Source organism: Homo sapiens, chromosome 2 (genome assembly GCF_000001405.40).
Source record: "Homo sapiens chromosome 2, GRCh38.p14 Primary Assembly".
In the NCBI taxonomy this organism is placed as follows: Eukaryota; Metazoa; Chordata; class Mammalia; order Primates; family Hominidae; genus Homo; species Homo sapiens.
The window spans coordinates 111,898,244-111,917,347 of record NC_000002.12 but is presented as its reverse complement, the minus strand read 5'-3'; the positions used below and the strand labels follow the sequence as shown (position 1 = coordinate 111,917,347).

Below are 19,104 nucleotides of genomic sequence, written 5' to 3'. Positions count from 1 at the left end.
TGAGAAATCTAGACTTCCACCCTCACCAAGCTATAGAGAAGTACTACAAGTGGCCCTCCAGGGTGGCGTCAGAAAGGGCCTAGAGGAAGTAGAGAACTAAGATGTCTAGCCCCACTGACTGGTGTGAGGACCATGTGGGAGCCAGGCCTTCCATCCCCACCCAGCATTAATGAAGCAATGAAGCATCTCTCCTCCTCCCTACTGGGGCAGTATCTGGGGCCTGCAGAAAGTCAGGGCTTTCACTGCCAACCAGAAAGGAGGCCATCCTTCCCCCTACTCTAGTGTTTGGGGAGGCCAGGTGGGGAAGAATTGGAACAGAAATGAGGCACTTCTACCCCTCTGAGCCAGAGAGGTATCAGTGGAAGCCTGGTGGGGAGCCGGAACTGCCACCTGACCTCTGACCAGCAGTAATGAAGATATCCCCACACTCAGATGTCAATGGAGGCTGAGTGAGGAACCTAGAATTCTACCCCTACCTGGCAGCAACGAGGCAGCATGCCCTCTTCCCCAGCCAGAGCAAGTCAGAGGAAAACAGGTAAAACAGAAGACTAAACTAAGATCCAGGGTCTCAAAATGTCTGTGTGCCAAAAAAATAAATAAATAAATAAAACTGATCTCAAGCAGAATGAAATGCCAACATCAAAATGACAAATCTTCTGAAAAATCTTTTAAAGAAGCAATCATAAAAATATTTAAATGAACAATTATGAACATGCTTGAAACATGAAAAAACAGAAAGCCACAGCAAAGAAATACAAAGTCTCAGTAAAGAAATAGAAGATCTTTTTAAAAATCAAAAGGAAATTTTAGAACTAAAAAAATACAATAACCAAAAATTTAAAAACTCAATGGATAAGTTCAACAGTAAAATGAAAGGGGAACAAAAGAAAGAATCGGTATACTAAAAACAAAACAATAGAATTCAATTTGACCATGAGAAGAGACTGAAAAAAATGAATAGAGTCTCTGGGACTACTATTAAAGATCTAAAATCCGTATCACTGAAGTCCTGAAAGGAGAGGAGAAAGAAAGCAAGGCTAAAAGGGAACTTGAAGGGCCAGGCGCGGTGGCTCTCGCCTGTAATCCCAGCACTTTGGGAAGCCAAGGTGGGCGGAATTGCTTGAACCCGGGAGGCGGAGCTTGCAGTGAGCCAAGATGGTGCCATCAGAGTGCCACTGCACTTCAGCCTGGGTGACAGAATGAGACCCTGTTTCAAAAAAATAAAGAAAAGAAAAAAATATAATCTATATTTATAGAACACTCTTCCCAACAATAGAATACACATTCTTTCGAAGATCAATGATATAAAGCAAACCTCAACAAATTAAAAATAACTGAAATCATATAGTCTATGTTCTCTAATTACAATGGAAATAACCAGATATTAATAACAGAAACACAATAGAAATTCTCAACACTTGCAAACTAAACTTATTTATTTATTTATTTTGGAGATGGAGTTTTTGCTCTTGTTGCCCAGGCTAGAGTGCAATAGTGCAATCTCAGCTTACTACAACCTCTGTCTCCCGGGTTCAAGTGATTCTCCTGCCTCAGCTCCCCAAATAGCTGGGATTACAGGCACGTGCCACCAAGCCTGGCTAATTTTTTGTATTTAGTAGAGATGAGGTTTCACCATGTTGGTCAGACTGGTCTCGAACTCCTGACCTCAGGTGATCCACCCGCTTCAGCCTCCCAAAGTGCTGGGATTACCACGCCCAGCCGCAAACTAAACTTCTAAATAGTCCATGGGTCAAAGAAGTGTCAAGAAAAAAATTTTAAAAAATACGTTGAACTAAATGAAAATAAAAACGCAACATGTCAAAATTTGTGGGATACAGCTAAAGCAGTGCTGGGGAAAATTTATAGTATTAAAATAGAGGAAAAGTCTCAAATCCATCATTTAAGTTTAGAACACAGGGAAAGAGCAAAATAAACCCAAAACAAGCAGAAAGAAGAAAATAATAGATAAAAAAAGAAAATGAAAAAAAAAGCAATACAGAATCAATGAAACAAACAACAAATTCTTTGAAAAGACCAATAAAATTAACAAACCTCTAACAAGACCAACAAAGAAAAAAATGAGAAGACAAATTGTTAATATCAGGAATAAAACAGGGGAAATCACCATAGACTCTGCAGACATCAAAAGGATAAGTGAATAGTACAAATAACCACACATGAATTTGGTAGCATAGAGGAAGTGAATTAAATCTTCAAAAAACATAAACTATCACAATGTACCCCACATGAAATAGATAATTTGAATCAGGCTATAACTATTAAGGAAATTGAATTCATAATTTTTTAAACTACCGAAAAACAAATCTCCAGGCCCAGATGGTTTCATTGGAGAATTATGCCAAATGCTTAAAGAAGAATTAACACCAATTCCACATAATCTCCTTCAGAAATTAGAAGAGAGGGTGGAACTTCCTAATATATTTTATGAAGCTAGTATTGCTCTGATACCAAAACCAGACAAAAATACAGAAAAAACAGATCAACATTCTTCATGAATATAAACACAAAAAAATTATTAACAAAATATCAACAAATAGAACTCACCAATATATAAAAATAATTATATACCACAATCAAGTGGAATTTATGCCATGGATAGAAAGCTAGTTCAGTATTTGAAAATCAGACAATGTCATCCAGCATACTAACAGACTAAAAAAATAAAAATCACATGATCATATTGTTCATTTAACAAAATTCAATATTCGCTCATGGGGGAAAAAAAACCCTCTAAGAAAATTAGGAAGAAGCCAGACATGGTGGCTCATGCCTGTAATCCCAGCACTTTGGGAGGCCAAGGCAGGTAGATCACCTGAAGTCAGGAGTTCAAGACCAGCATGGCCAACATGGTGAAACCCTGTCTCTACTAAAAATACAAAAATTAGGCCGGGCGCAGTGGCTCACACCTGCAGTCCCAGCTACTTGGGAGGCTGAGGCAGGAGAATGGCATGAACCCGGGAGGCAGAGCTTGCAGTGAGCCGTGATTGCACCATTGCACTCCAGCCTGGGCCACAGAGCAAGACTCTGTCTCAAACAAACAAACAAAAATACAAAAATTAGCCGGGCGTGGTGGTGCACACCTGTAGTCCTGGCTACTTGGGGGCTGAGACAGGAGAATCACTTGAACCTGGGAGGCAGAGGTTGCAGTGAGCCAAGATCGTGCCACTGCACTCCAGCCTGGGTGACAGAGGAGACTCCATCTCAAAAAAAAAAAAAAAAAAAAAAGAAAGAAAGAAAGAAAGAAAGAAAAGAGGGGCACATCCTCAACTTAATAAAGATCTGAAAAAAAAAATGGATGGGAACAAGGCAAGGATATCTGCTTTCCCCATTCTTATTCAACACCGTGCTGAAAGTTGTAACCAATGCAATAAAGCAAGTAAAAGAAGTAAAACACATCAGAAAGAAAAGATCAGAAAAGAAGAAAATAAAAGGATTGCTACTTGCAGATATGATTATCTTCATAGAAAATTCCAAGGAAGGCTAGGCACAGTGGCTCATGCCTGTAATCCTAGCACTTTGGCAGGCTGAGGTGGGTGGATCACCTGAAGTCAGGAGTTCAACACCAGCCTGGCCAAAATGGTGAAACCCCACCTCTATCAAAAATACAAAAAAATTAGCCAGGCATGGTGGTGGCATGCGCCTGTAATCCCAGCTACTCCAGAGGCTGAGGCACAAGAATCGCTTGAGCCCTGGAGGCGGAGGTTGCAGTGAGCTGAGATTGCACCACTGTACTCCAACCTGGGTGACAGAGTGAGACTCCATCTCAAAAAAAGAAAAAGAAAAAAAAGAAAATTCCAAGGAATCTATAAAAAAGTCTCCTTGGAACAAATAAGTTATTTTATCAAGGTTGCAAGATACAAATTATTGTATTTCTACATATGAAGCAATAAACACATAGACATTGAAATTAAAAATACAATACCATTTACAATCACTCCAAATGGTGAAATACTTAGGTATAAATCTAACAAAGCACATACAGAACTCTTCTGCTAAAAACAACAAAACACTGATGAAAGAAATACAAGAAGATATAACTAAATGGAGAGATATACTGTGTTCATAAATTGGAAATCTCAACCTAGAAAAAATATCAATTCTCCCCAAATTGATATACAGATTGTAGTATAATTTCAAAGTATATATTTGGCCTTTGTCCTTGATTCCTGGCATAGAGGTCCTTTAAGCAATGTTACAAATCTATGTTCAATATCTTCTACTGGGTAAAAAGCAAAGGACCCAGTACCTGTATCAACCCACACAGAAACTTTTTCACCTTTCGCCAGGCCTTTTACCTAGACAGTCTTCTCTAATCCTGTGAAGGGTGTATCACTGGAATTGTCCCCAGTTCATAGATGAGGATCCTGAGGTTCCCAGATGCTAAACGACTTGCCCAGCTCTCCATGGCTAGGAAGGAATGAAGAGGGCTTCTCACAGCCACCAACTACCCTAACCTTGCAGTCCACATACAAGCCCCAGCTACTGAGCCCTGGGTTGCAGGTGGTTCTGAGGGTTGAACTGAGGGAAGGCTCCAGTGTGTGACAGCCAAGGGTGAGGATGGGGCACTGAATGATAAGCATGAGTGGCGAAAGAGCCAGTTGCATCACTCACTTCACAATCTAGTTGCAACCTGCCCTGAGGAGTATTCTCAGATCTGTTTAGAGTACTCTTGGGAAGAAATATCTTAGTCCAGATCTCCCATGGCAATAACCTGCCTATAAGATGTGCAGGACTGGCAACATATAATGGGGCTGAAATTGCATATAACCTACAACTCAGTGTTTCCACTCCTAGACTCACACATGTCCATAGGGAGACATGTAAGAAGGTTAAGGGCTCTTAACTTGGATAGGGGTTTTGATACCTATATTTATTAAAACTCATCAGACTCCACACTTAAAATCTGCACATTTAATTATGGCAAAGGAAACCTCACAATAGAAAAGAATAATGTTCATGGCAACGTTGTTTGTAATAGAAAAATTCAGGAAAACCTAAATGCCCATTAAGAGGCAACTGGGGCCGGGTGTGGTGGCTCATGCCCGTAATTCCAGCACTTTGGGAGACCGAGGTGGGCAAATCATGAGGTCAGGAATTCAAGACCGGCCTGGCCAGCATGGTGAAACCCCATCTCTACTAAAAATACAAAAAAAAAAATTAGCTGGGCATGGTGGTGGGCACCTGTAATCCTAGCTACTTGGTAGGCTGAGGCAGGAGAATCACTTGAACCTGGAAGGTGGAGGTTGCAGTGAGCCGAGATCGCACCACTGCACTCCAGCCGGGGTGACAGCGTGAGACTCCGTCATAAATAAATAAATAAATAAATAAAGCGATTGGAAGCCAGGCACAGTGGCTCATGTCTGTAATCCCCACACTTTGGCAGGCCGAGGCAGGAGGATCACTTGACCCCAGGAGTTAGAGACCAGCCTCGACAATGTGGCAAAACCTCATCTCTACAAAAAAGTTAAGAAACAGCTGGCTGTGTTGGCATGCACCTGTAGTCCTAGCTACTCAACAGGCTGAGGTGGGAGGATCACTTGAGCCCAGGAGTTTAGGCTCCAGTGAGCTATGATGGCACCACTGCATTTCAGCCTGGGCAACAGCCAACTCAAAAAAAAAAAAAAAAAAAAAAAAAAAGGCTGGGCGCTATGGCTCATGCCTGTAATCCCAGCACTTGGGAGGCTGAGACGGGCAGATCACACTGGAGGTCAGGAGTTCAAGACCAGCCTGGCCAACATGGTGAAACCCCATCTTTACTAAAAATACAAAAATTAGCTGGGCATGGTGGTGTGCACCTGTAATCCCAACTACTCGGGAGACTGAGGCAGGAGAATCACTTGAACCCAGGAGGCGGAGGTTGCAGTGAGCTGAGATAGCGCCATTGCACTCCAGCCTGGGCAACAGAGTGAGACTCTGTCTCAAAAAAAAGAAAGAAAACAAAAAAACAAAAGGAGGAGATTGGATAAATAAAACTATGGTATATTTACATATTTGTCTATGAAGATAAATGAACAAAGGTTACACTTTTCAACTCAGATGAATTTAGCAAACTTCACAAACAGTGAAAAAGCAAGCTGAAGAAGAAAGCATACTATTTATATGAAATTTTATAACATGTATGTGGTAAGCTGCTGCTAGCGTCCTGCTCAGCACCCATTTCCCCTTGTTTCCACAAAGGGGACCCAATCTCATTCAGGGTGGCAACTTGCCCAGCTAGCACACTTGACTTGCCACTCTTCCTGGCAGCTTGGAATAATCAGGGAAAGGTTAGCTGAAGTCCATAGCATAGGGCTTCGTATTGAGTTATCACCTTCTTTTTTAAAAGCTGCTTTAATTAACATAATTGTACATATCTATGGAGCACATTACACATTACTGTTAACTATAGTAATCCTACAGTGCTATGGAACACTAAACTTATCCCTCCTATCTTGCTGTAATTTTGAATTCTTTAACAAATCTCTTCCTATCCTCCCCTTCCTCCTATCCTTTCCAGGCCCTAGTAACCTTTGTCCTACTTTTTACTTCTACAAAATCAACTTTTTTGTTTAGCTTCCACCTATGAGTGAGGACATGTGGTGTTTAACTTTGTTTCTGGCTTGTTTTAATTAACCAAATGTCTTCCAGTTCCATCCATGTTGCTACCAATGACAGGATTTCATTACTTTATGGCTAAATATTTAATAGTATTCCATTTGTATATATATATATATATACACACACACACACACACACTTTTTTTTTAAGTTACAGGGTCAGCCGGGTGAGGTGGCTCATGCCTGTAATCCCAGAACTTTGGGAGACTGAGGCGGGTGGATCACCTGAGGTCAGGAGTTCGAGATCAGCCTGGCCAACATGGTGAAACCCCATCTCAAATAAAAATACAAAAATTAGCCAGGCGTGGTGGCAGGCGCCTGTAATCCCAGCTACTCGGGGTGCCGAGGGAGAAGAATCACTTGAACCCAGGAGGCAGAAGTTGCAGTGAGCTGAGATCATGCCACTGCATTCCAGCCTGGGGGACAAGAGCGAGACTTTGTCTCAAAAAAAAAAAAACAAAAAACAGAGACAGGGTCTCACTCTGTTGCCCAGGCTGGAGTGCAGTAAGGCAATCATAGCTCAGTACAGTCTCAAACTCCTGGGCTCAAGGAGTCCTCCCACCTCAGCCTGCTGAGCAGCTATGACCATAGGCATGCACCACAATGTCTAGCTAATTTTTTTATTTCTAGTAGAGACCAGGTCTTGCCATGTTGCCAAAGCTTATACCACATTTTCTTTATCCATTCATCCGTTGATGGACACCTAGACTGATTCCTTAGCTTGGCTATTGTGAATAGTGCTATATTAAACATGAGGGTGCAGATGTCTTTTTGATATACTGATATCCTTTCTTTTGGATAAATGACCAGTAGTGCAATTACAGGATCATATGGTAGTTCCATCTGTAGTTTTTTGAGGAACCTCCATACCATTCTTCATAGTGTTCCCGGACCGAACTGAGGGTTGGGCTGCTTATTCTCATGCCCAATAATGAGATGCAGATGAACTGGGAAAGAAGGGAGTTTATTTCTCCCTGGGTACAGGGAGAAGGCCTGGAAAACATCACCACATCAACTCAAAATTACGTTTTCCAGGGATTATATACCTTCTAAGCTATATGTCTACATGGAAGTGTGCATTCATTTAAAGACATAAGTGATTAACTTCTTCTAATCTATAACTAAGGTCTGAGTCCTGAGGACCTTCTTCTGGAGCCTCAGTAAATGTACTTAATCTAAGTGAATCCAGGTGCTGGGGTGATTATCCTTATTATCTTGTCTCCCGCTAAATCATGGAGGTTTGAGGAGTTCCTTCAGACCCCCAATAAACTTGTTTGTGGAGGTCTGGGGAATTTCTTAAGATCCCCAGTAAAACTTGTTTAATCCTAAATGAGGCCTGTTAAGAATTCCTTTGTTATCTTGTCATGAGTCAAGGCCCAGGAAAGGCCTGGGCAAAACTTCTGGTGGGCTTTCATTACATTCCAGCCTTTGTATGAGGGCACCGGCTCTATTAGCTTTTAATATTTAACTTAACCACTCAGTGCTGAAACAGTTGTTACAGAGGCCTGCGTTACCGAGACCTGGCCTGCCACAATAGTGGCTGTGATAGTTTAAATCCCCACCAGCAGTGTATGAGTTCCCTTTTCTCTGCACCTTTGCCAGCATTTGTTATTTTTTGCCTTTTTGACATAGCCATCCTAAATGCAATGAAATGAAACCAGGTTGTAATTTTGGTTTACATCTCCCTGATGATTAGTGATGTTAAGCATTTTTTCATATATTTATCTGTTAGCCATTTGTATTTCTTCTTTTGAGAAATATGTTTAGATCACTTGTTCATTTTTTAATCGGATTGCTTGTTTTTTGCTGTTGAGATGTTCCAGTCACCTTCTTGATAAAAAGGACAGACTCAGCTGGTATGAGACTTTTTGTCCTTTTCCCTTCTGCTTTTTTCTGCCTGGAATGCAAATGAAATGCCCAGAAGCACAGCAGCCATTTAAGGAACAATGTGTTCTAAAAGCATACACTATAGATGTCAGAGCCAAGAGCCAGGTCATTGACTTTATCATGGAGCCACTGTCTAATCCCAACCTGGTTGCTGTCAGACTGCTTGTTGTATGAGAAAAATACTCCCATTTTGGTTACACCACTGAAGTAAGGTTTTCTGTTATATGCAATCAAATGTAACTGACATGGTGCAAAACAACACTATAGAGTGTTACCAACATAATCATGTCAATCATGATCAAAGGATAAAGACATGCATGGGAATTGAAACACCCAATGTGGGATAATGGTTTTCTCTGGGTGGGAGTGAGGGGATGACACTGGAGAGAGGAACGACCGGGGACTTCCACTGTAGTGTTAATGTCTGACTTCTTACGTCAAGTAGTGAGTACACAGGCGAGTTTTATTACCTGTTAAATCCTTTTGTGTATCCTAAATATTTTATAATAAGATGTGAGTATAAAGAGTAGCTGAGAGGAAAAAATATAATGGTAAAAAGGGAAAGGCCTTACTATTTACTGGTTGGCCCACCTGATTAGCTGTATCTCTTTCCACCAACAGGTCCTAAAATCCTAAGGGCACTTGGCTTAATGAATCATCCAGCTCAACATTCTCACTTTGTCTAGGAATTGCCACCTCCCTTGGATAAGCATAATTAGCTTACTCCTACCCTCAATGGCCAGGTTCTGATACATACCCCTCCTGGGATGGGGTAATAGAGAGAGGCTCCCCACCACTGCCCAAGAATCAGACATCAGATATACTGCATCAGTGGAGTGTAACGAAAGAGGTGGCACAGAATAGCTTGGACATACACAAGGCAGGGCCACAGCCCCAAAGATTGAGTCCACGGGTCCTGGGAACCTGAGCTTCTACCTTGCGAAAATGCTTCCTAGGTAGTTCTGAAGCATACCTCTTCTTGAGAACCCCTGTCATGAATCATTGTCTTTATCCTTATCTTCCCAGCCAGAATATTTAAGAGCGTTGCATTCTACAGTTTATATCACAAAATATTTTTTAAATTTCCAATTATAAAATGACATAATAATATTGAATGAATAAACTTTTGAAAATGACATCATTCTCCCTGATCCTGAAGATTCTGCTGTTCCCCCTCAGGGGGGATATGCCCCACTCCATCCACCCCGGAAAAAGCTTAGTCCATCCCTCTGTCTCTCAGAAGATTTAGCAGGAAGAGGTCATATGTGTTTGGGGAGATCCAATATTCTCAGAAATATACCTCCATGTTTCCAGACTATTCTATTGCCCCAGAGTTGGAGGGGGTACTTACTGGAGGAACAGACAGCCCAGGTGGCAGGGAATGGCAACTGTCAACAGCAAAGAACCCACTAGCATCACTCTTTTTTTTGATACGGAGTTTTACTGTTATTGCCCAGGCTGGAGTGCAGTGGCACAATCTCGGCTCACTGCAACCTCCGCCTCCTGGGTTCAAGTGATTCTTCTGCCTCAGCCTCCCAAGTTGCTGGGATTACAGGCATGCGCCACCACGCCTGGCTAATTTTTTGTATTTAGTAGAGACAGGGTTTTACCATGTTGGTCAGGCTGGTCTCAAACTCCTGACCTCAGGTGATCCACCCACCCTGACCTCCCAAAGTGCTGGGATTACAGGCGTGAGCCACCGCACCTGGCTGCATCACTCATTTTTAATGAAACTCTTCACACAGCCTCCATCTCCGTTTCTGGGCTGATGTCTAAGAAAGTTCACACCGAGAGTCACGCACAGGGCTGAGGGTCAAACTCAGGCTGAGGCTCTGTGTCCCAAACGGCATGGGAGAAAGTATCCCTTCCCACCTCTCCCCTTTAGATGGAATCAGTGTTCTGCCCCAAAGGGGCCTAGAATCATCCATCTGCTTTCCCATTTGACAAGTGAGGATGTGGAGTTTTAGAAGGAGGACACACTATACCCCAGCTGTCCCTGCAGGTTCCTCTCAAAGCTAGGATGAGAACTTACATCTTTCAACTCCCCAAGTGGTTATTTTTTAAACTAAGAGTGAATCTAAAAAGCTTCTTTTTTTTATTTGCTCCAAAACTTTCAAAGAACATTGCTTTCATCACCAAATCTTCAAATCATGTGCCAGAATTGTAAAAAGGCTTAAAGGCTGGTTTCACTTCCTGTGTGGAGGCAGCCTGCCGTTAATTGGAACAAGTGAAAAACTGGCCTCCAGGCACACACAACACTTGGGAAGTCCATGAATATTTATCACCGCACTGAGAATTCCCTAAGCGGCACAGTGACAGAAAACAACTTTCAGTTAAGTTTGAGTCTCTGTTCTAATATTCTCCACTAAGACAGCCTGTTCTTACTTGTGAAAGTGATCATTTTCAAAACCATAATGAAGCCAATCTACTATTGGTAGCTCTAACCACAAGGCCCTAAGGCTTAAAATAACAAAACAATTCCTTCTCCAAAATAAACAAGGCTTTTCTTTGTGTATCTAATGAGAGGCAAGACCACAGCTAAGGCAAGTTCTAAGATGTTTACTGTCCCTGAATGCTGAGGTATCTAGATCCTCAAAGAAAAAGCAGATTACACAAAAAAGGGGACCTGTCAGAAAGCATTTGCATAAGTGCCAACCTGAGATCTAAATCCGGAGGATGGACCCCTACTGGAGTGACCTAGGGCAGAGCACTAACCCTGTGATGATTGGATCTTGTTTTCAAGGGACCAACAGAAATACATGGAGGCACAGAGTACAAGGAGAAACATACAAGTGTAAAATGTGCTGGCAAAAAAATCCAGGCATTGAGCTTCTGAAATGAAATGGGGTTTCTCTAAGCACAAATATAAATGTTCTTAGCTTTTGGTGTAATTTTATTCCAAACATAAAGCCAACATCTGTTCTCTCTTTCTCTTTCCTTCTGCCCCTTCTCCCTGCCTGCCACCTCCAAGACTCATGGAAAATCCATTTACCATTGAGTGAAAGAAGCACTGATAATTGAAGAACTAGCCAAGAAGGATGAAATAAAATGCTTTAGAATTGAGTGTAGGTTTCTGGCTGGGCACGGTGGCTCACGCCTATAATCCCAGCACTTTGGGAGGCTGAGGTGGGCCAATCACCTGAGGCCAGGAGTTCGAGACCAGCCAGGCCAACATTGTGAAACGTTGTCTCTACTAAAAAATACAAAAATTAGCTGGGTGTGGTAATGGGTGCCTGTAATCCCAGCTACTCGGGAGGCTGAGACAGGAGAACCGCTTGAACCCAGGAGGTTGAACCCTGGGTTCAATCGCTTGAACCCAGGAGGCTGCAGTAAGCTGAGATCGCGCCACTGCACTCCAGCCTGGGTGACAGAGTGAGCCTCCATGTCAAAAAAAAAAAAAAAAAAAAAAAGAACAGTGTAGGTTTCTCAATGAAATGTTTGAGACATAATCACCCTTTCTTCTTTATCACTCTGAAACACCAGGACCTGAGGAGGTGACCTGGCCATAGCAGCCCAGGGTTTCACATGCCGGCCATGTCCCTAGATCCTAGTGCCTGTCAGAGGCCCCGAGAGTGAAAATGTGGCAGCTCCCATGAAGGGATGGCTGTCCAGCTGCAGAGTCTCACAAAACTAGGGAAGATCTAGGCCCTCCCTTCCTGTGGCTAAGAATCACCCAGTTCAACAGCCATGGTTCAGACAGAGAAAAGTAAGGCCTAGGAGGGAGGAAGTGCCAGGATGGCAGGTATTCTTAGTATCCTTGTTCTCCAAAAGGGGCCTGCTGATCCTAATGGAATTCTCTGCCCCTGCCAGGCTGCATTTTTAGCACTTCGGCTGGAGGCAGGAGTGGGAGACATAGAATGAAAAGAGAGGGAACTGGTTTAACTCCGGTCACGGGTTAGCCAATGCCCAGAGTGCCAGAGGGAGAGTAATCAGGGCTCCCTCCCGGGCACCTGAGGGTTGGCTCACCCATGCCATTAAGCAGGAAGTACCAGAAGCCAGGAGTGCACCTGGCGCCCTTTGCATTTCCTACAAGACCACCTGCGGACACATACTCACGCCTGTACACGGAATCTACTCTAAGAACCAAAGCCTCATTTTCTCTATGTTGCAGCCAACTGACCTCATTGGGAAAACCTAGCTCGATGTGGTAAAAAGGAAAAGAATTTTCTGAGCTGGGTGAGGTGGTTCACTCCTGTAATCCCAGCACTTTGAGAGGCCGAGGTGGGTGGATCGCGAGGTCAGGAGTTCAAGACCAGCCTGCCCAACACGGTGAAACCCCGTCTCTACTTAAAATACAAAAATTAGCCAGGTCTGGTGGAGGGCACCTGTAATCCCAGCTACTTGGGAGGCTGAGGCAGAGAATTGCTTGAAGCCAGGAGGCGGAGGTTGCAGTGAGCCGAGATCGCGCCACATGCACTCCAGCCTGGGCGACAGAGCAAGATTCCATCTCAAAAAAAAAAAAAAGAATTTTCTGGATGTTCACACTCAAAAACCCTAAAACAAAACAAACACAAAAAATAAAAATAAAAAAATTTAAACCACACCCAGTTTGGAAAAGAGTTATGTGGGAAAAGTTGAACAGGAACTGGACTTCATTTTTATACCTTCCTGAGAGGCACATGACAAGAAGCTATTCCTGTACTATGTCAAGTTTGAACTCCATAAGGGAAGGTATGGGGGCAGGAGTAGGAGGGGAATGGCAGTCAGGGCGGGCCCTGCTTCTCTGGAGAACTGCTTGGTCCTGGGTGGGTTTTGCTCAAACTACTAGGAAACAAAAACCTAAAGAGCTGCAGCAAAGGACTTGGGCACTCTAGGGCGACACCGGAGGGCCCCTTCACCAAAGCATTCTGAACAATGGAGGGTGGACCATTCAGGATACACTTCAATAAGAAAAGAACCCTCCTCCCAACACCTTTTGTCTAGGAAAAACATTTCCCCCATACTTGAGTTCAGAAGAATGGAGGAGAACCATTGGTAATAATGGCAAATATATTTTAAGCACATATCACCTGCCATTAGCTCATTACGTCCTCCTAACAATTCTATGAAAAGAGCCTCCCACTGTACCCAAAAAGGAACAGAGGTCCTGAAAGTTAATCACCACCCCCAAAGCCCCAGAAGCCAGTCCCGGTTAACACTTTCATTCCAGTCCCCAGAGGCATAGTGTGCCTCACACAGTGTGAGACCCCTTTCAGTTTTTATAATAATTAATCTCCTGCTGAGAAACATACCAATTCAGAGCCATGTGCTTTGGGTTAAGATTAAACTAACGGCAAGGGCCAAAGTCAAGGCACCCAGGGCTACCTGCCCCTGAGCAAGGAGTTGTTAGAACTGTGTTTAACATGAAAAATTACCTTCTGACATTTTTTTTTCTAGTTGGAATAGTTAGGACAATGTAAAATATGTTTGGGGTTAATACAGCCCAAAAATCTGTCTGGTTTTAATTGACTAGCTCCTCCAGCAATGAAATCACATTGGCATCACAGCAAAATAAAAGATTGTTTTCTATTAACCAAGCCCCGAATGTGAGGGCATGGGAGCTCCAGCAATTCTGTTTCTGGAAAAGCCAGTAGGAAAAGATAAGGGTGAAGAGCACCTGGTAAGACATGCAGGGGCTTGGTTCCTTCATGCTGTGCTCTGATACTCACTGAGCACCCGTATGAGCTCCATGCTGTGTTAGCAGTGAAAAAGACAGCAGCCCTGCCACCAGGAGCTTACCTTGTGGTGGGGGGACAGTGGAGGAAAAGGAGTAAACAAAGAGGTAAGGCTGGGTGCCATAGCTCACGCCTGTAATCTCTGCACTTTGGGAGGCTGAGGTAGGCGGATCACCTGAGGTCAGGAGTTCGAGACCAGCCTGGCCAACATGGTGAAACCCTGTCTCTACTAAAAATACAAAAATTAGCCAGCTGTGGTGGCAGGTGCCTGTAATCCCAGCTACTGGGAAGGCTGAGGCAGGAGAATTGCTTGAACCTGGGAGGCGGAGGTTGCAGTGAGCAGAGAATTTGCCATTGCAAGACTCTGTCAATAAAGAAATAGAGGGAGGGAGGGAGGGAGGAAGGAAGGAAGGAAGGAAGGAACTGATCAGGTTGTGAGAAGCATTATCAGGAAATTAAATTTAAGGGATAGTGGGGTGTATGCATATGATACTTTGGCAGGGGGTGGTTATTGGGGAAGGCTTCTCAAGGAGAACCTCTGAACTGAAACCCAAAGGATGAGAAGAAGCCAGCATGCCGAGATCTTGGGAAAAAGGTTCCAGCCAGAGGGAAGAGTCACTGCAAAGGCTGCTCAGGCCCTAGAAAGAAGACACAGGTGGCTGGAGTGGTAGGAACAAGAGGGAAGTGAATGGAAATGGGTCAAAGAGGTTCGCTGTGAGTCTCTGCAAATTCTAGTAGGGAACAGGAAGCCACTGGAAGATTTTCAAATGGAAAATACAATCAGATTCGTTTCCAAAATCTCATTCTGGCTATTATATGGAAAGCGACTGTTTCACATGTGTGTTCAAGGTCCCAGCTCAGTTTTTCTACCCAGCAGCATGTTCCCAATTCACAGGCATAAAAAGATTGAACCTCTTCTTGACCAATGCTGACTAGTAACTCACTGGCCCTTCTACAATTATCTGGAAATTATTTCAAAAATTAAGATTTAAAAATATAATTATTGGCTGGGTGTGGTGGCTCATGCCTGTAATCCCAGCACTTTGGGAGGCCAAGGCAGGCAGATCACCTGAGGTTGGGAGTTCGAGACCAACCTAACCAACACGGAGAAACCCTGTCTCTACCAAAAATACAAAATTAGCCAGGCGTGGTGGTGCATGCCTGTAATCCCAGCTACTCAGGAGGCTGAGGCAGGAGAACTGCTTGAACCCGGGAGGCGGGAAGTTGCGGTGAGCCGAGATTGTGCCATTGCACTCTAGCCTGGACAGCAAGAGTGAAACTCTATCTCAAAAACAAAAAAACATAATTATTGTTAATTTTTTAAAAATTGTATTCAGCTGTGCATGGTGGCTCATGCCTATAATCCCCACACTCTGAGAGGCTAAGGTGGGAAGATCGCTTGAGCCCAGGAGTTCAAGACCAGCCTGGGCAACATAGTGAGATCCTGTCTCTACAAAAAATAAAAAATTAGCCAGGCATGGTGGTATGTGCCTGTGGTCATAGCTACTTGGGAGGCTGAGGTGGGAGGATCACTTGAGCCCGGAAGGTTGAGGTTGCAGTGAGCCGTGATGGTGCCACTGCACTCTAGCCTGGGTGGCAGAATGAGAACCTGCCAAAAAAAAAAAAAAAAGAAAGAAAGAAAAGAAAAGAATTCCACTCAGCACTTTAATGGGTCAGAATAATTTTCTAAAAGTATTCATTTTTAAAATATGCACGATGTACTTTCAAAAAGCATTTGAAGCCTTTGGAATAAAGCCCACAAGCAACAGAACAACTTAAAAGTTCCCTCTGGGAAGATGTTTACAATATACTGGAATACATGTTACAATATCAGTTTGGAAAAGAAATATTAACATTAAAGAATCTTAAAAGCCTAATTTACTCTAAGGGTTGAGTTTAGCTGCACACACAGCCTCGTCATGAGCTAAGTCCTCATAATGCATTCATTTTTATCCACATTTATATTTATCTTGCTCCATCCTCTCCCTGGCCCTTCAGAGAGCCACCGCTTGCCTCATTTTGCTGCTCAATGGCACCCCCATCAGAGACTGAGCAGAAAGGAAAGACTGGAAAGCCTCGAAATGCTCCTGGTTTGGCAGTTCCAGTTCTGTGTGTGCATGTCTTTGTGAGACGTGTAGTGTGTATGTGTGTTGGGGGGCAGAGGGGATTTCCTGGGTTAAAGTGATGCTTAAATTTTATTTACCCATTCTTCTATACTGCTAACAGTGTAGAATCTACACACATATTCTCATTGTCTCTCTCTCTGTCTCCCCTGTGTGGTCAGCAAAGCACTCAGACCCACAATGTGTAATAGGAAAATCTTAAAATTAGATGAAGAGTCTAATTTCCATGTTTAATTTCTTCATACAGCACTCCTTTGTGCTGTAATTCTGCCAGTGAGAATCCCATTCTTTAAGCTTTTCACAAGGTGAGATGTAAAACTGTCACACATCTCATAGGTAAAGTTCAAAACCAAAAGCAAAAAGTGCAAGAACGATTGGTGAAACTTTTCATTCTTCCAGCTGGGTGGATTTTAAAAGGCCTTTTTATGATTGTCTGATTAAAGTTGATTGTCAGCTACAAAAATTTGTTATTACAGCCTTTTAAAATTTTAGAAAAACAAAAGCACTCCAATTTTTAAGTATTTAACACAAAACTATTGTTCCCATTACTTTCTCCATAGTTCTCACCACATTCACTACCTCCAAGACTATTCACGGCCAGTCCTCACTAGTAGCAACAAATAACAGATTTGCAGCAGATTATGAAAAATGGGGCTGGCAGAAATGCTGAGGAATTTTTGAAGGTTTGGTGGAGGGAGGGGCAGTGGAGAACAGAACTGCTTTAGTTCTTTGCCTGGCTCTTAAAGTTTGTTTCAAATTGCTATGTTGCCCCAAATTATAAATTGCTTATGTAATTTAACGTGCAAAAAGTGGGTGCACTGTTTAAGAATTTTTCATTTGAGTAAATGAGCTTTCAAAGGAAAATCTCAAAGGAAAAACTTTTAAGTAACTTACTTGACTATAAACTGAGCTTTCCAGGTATTCCTAAAAAACATCTTTGACTGTAATAGGTGAAGGCTAGTCAAGTGCATTCTCGATCAAAAGAGAGAAAATCTACATGCTGAATGGAAATAGAAACCTTTTAGCTGAGAGAAAATACTTGGAATGTGTTTATTTAGCATTTTTCCCCTTTCTTTTTCTTTTGGGTAAAGCCTGGTAAGTTTATTCCAGCCTCCTCAAGAAGTGCATCAGCGATCAAACTTGAAATCTGTTCATCACTCACTCCCCAAATAAGCTGTTCAAGCAGAATGAAACCGGCCTTCCTTGCCTCCACGTATCAGTCCAGCATCTTGTATTAAAATGCCTGGAACAAGCCGGGCGCGGTGGCTCACGACTGTAATCCCAGAACTTTGGGAGGCCAAGGAGAGCAGATCACGAGGTCAAGAGATCGAGACCATCCTGGCCAACATGGTGAAACCCCGTCTCTACTAAAAATACAAAAATTAGCCGGACGTGGTAGCGCGCGTCTATAGTCTCAGCTACTCGGGAGGCTGAGGCAGGAGAATCGCTTGAACCCGGGAGGCGGAGCCTGCAGTGAGCCGAGATCGCGCCGCGGCACTCCAGCCTGGGCGACAGGGCGAGACTCGGTCTCAAATTAAAAAAAAAAAAGCCTGTAACAACACTTCGCTGAATCCAGATAAACGTAAACGCTGCCGAGCACTGTAAGTTCTGTTCTGCCATAACAGGAGTGAAAAGAACGCTCCCCTTTTCCCACACTCTCTGGGTGCCCCTAAAAAGGGATACTAATAATGCCCGTAAGGGCCCATTGGGAGCAGCCAGGACTGCCGTCCCCCCCTGGCCCGTCGCTCGGCCTCAGTCTATCGCGGCTCCCGGACTGCGGCTCCGACTCCCGCAGCCCGTTCGTTCGCCCCGCGCCGGTCCCTCGGGAGACCGGATCTGTGGCCCCCGGGACTCCGGCCAGAGCGGGGCCCCACCATGCAACTCTAGTGGAAAGTTCTCGTCGCATCCCAGACCAGACCTGCTACCTACGTTCCACTCGTCGGAACTTCAGGACTTGCAGCGCGCCCGGCCGAGCTCGATTTCCTCCTCTGCGGTGAAGAGGGGAGCCTGCAACGCCGACCCCGACCCGGCTTCACCACGATGCGCACCCGCAAGCCAGGCTGGGTGCCCTCGGGACGCTTGAGGCGCCGCGGTCAGTGGACGGTAGGTTCGCCTACGCCCCCTCCTCTGGCACCGCAGTGGGTGGAGGGTGTTTGCAAACTTGTCCAGCAGCCAGGCGCGCCCCTGTGGACGCGCTCCCTCCCCAGAGGCCCCTGCTTCCTCCTGGGAGCCCCCACCCCCTCGCCTGGCCCCCAGCCGGGCGCACTCACCTCTACGCCAGAGCGCGGGGAGGAAGAGGCCCAGCAGCAGCGGCAGCGGGGCCGGCCCCATCCCGGGGCTGCGGATCTGTAATTTCTCTCCGGACGGATGGACAGATGGACGTCCCGAACCTGTCCTGTCGCCGGCCAAGCGCGCCAGCGAAGCTCCCTGTCCGGGCGGCCCGGGCAGTGAGTGCCGAGTGGCGGAGCCAAGCGGCCGGCGGGAGGTGCCGAGGGCTGGAAGGGGCGGGCCGGGGGCCGAGCCGAGGCCGGCCGGGGCTGGAGGAGAGGAGCGGGCAGGGGGGCGAGTCCCGGCGGGCCCAGCAGGTTGGGGTGGGAGGGGGCGGGAGGACGAGGGGGAGGAGGGGCGTAAAGGGGAAAGGGAGGGGGTTGGAGAGAAGGGGCGGGCCGAAGGCCGCCGCTGGGCAGACGGCGGGGAAGGGGGCGGAGAGGAAGGGGAGGGGGCTGAGAGACCCGGAGGGAGCCGGAAAGAGAAGTGAAGGGGAGGGGTGGACTGGAGGTCCACAGCGGAAGGCTCTGGCCGCTGCGCGGGTCCGGGGCCCCA

At 44.8% G+C, this 19,104-nt stretch overlaps 1 protein-coding gene across 1 annotated transcript in view; it reads right to left on the bottom strand.

The window, feature by feature from the left end:
• MERTK (MER proto-oncogene, tyrosine kinase) overlaps positions 1 to 18,741 on the bottom strand; it is a 130,955-nt gene extending 112,214 nt beyond the window's left edge. The window contains exon 1 of the mRNA NM_006343.3: positions 18,552 to 18,741. Coding sequence (NP_006334.2) covers positions 18,552 to 18,612 — 61 coding nt within the window. The 5' untranslated portion in view covers positions 18,613 to 18,741. The remainder of the gene's footprint in view (positions 1 to 18,551) is intronic.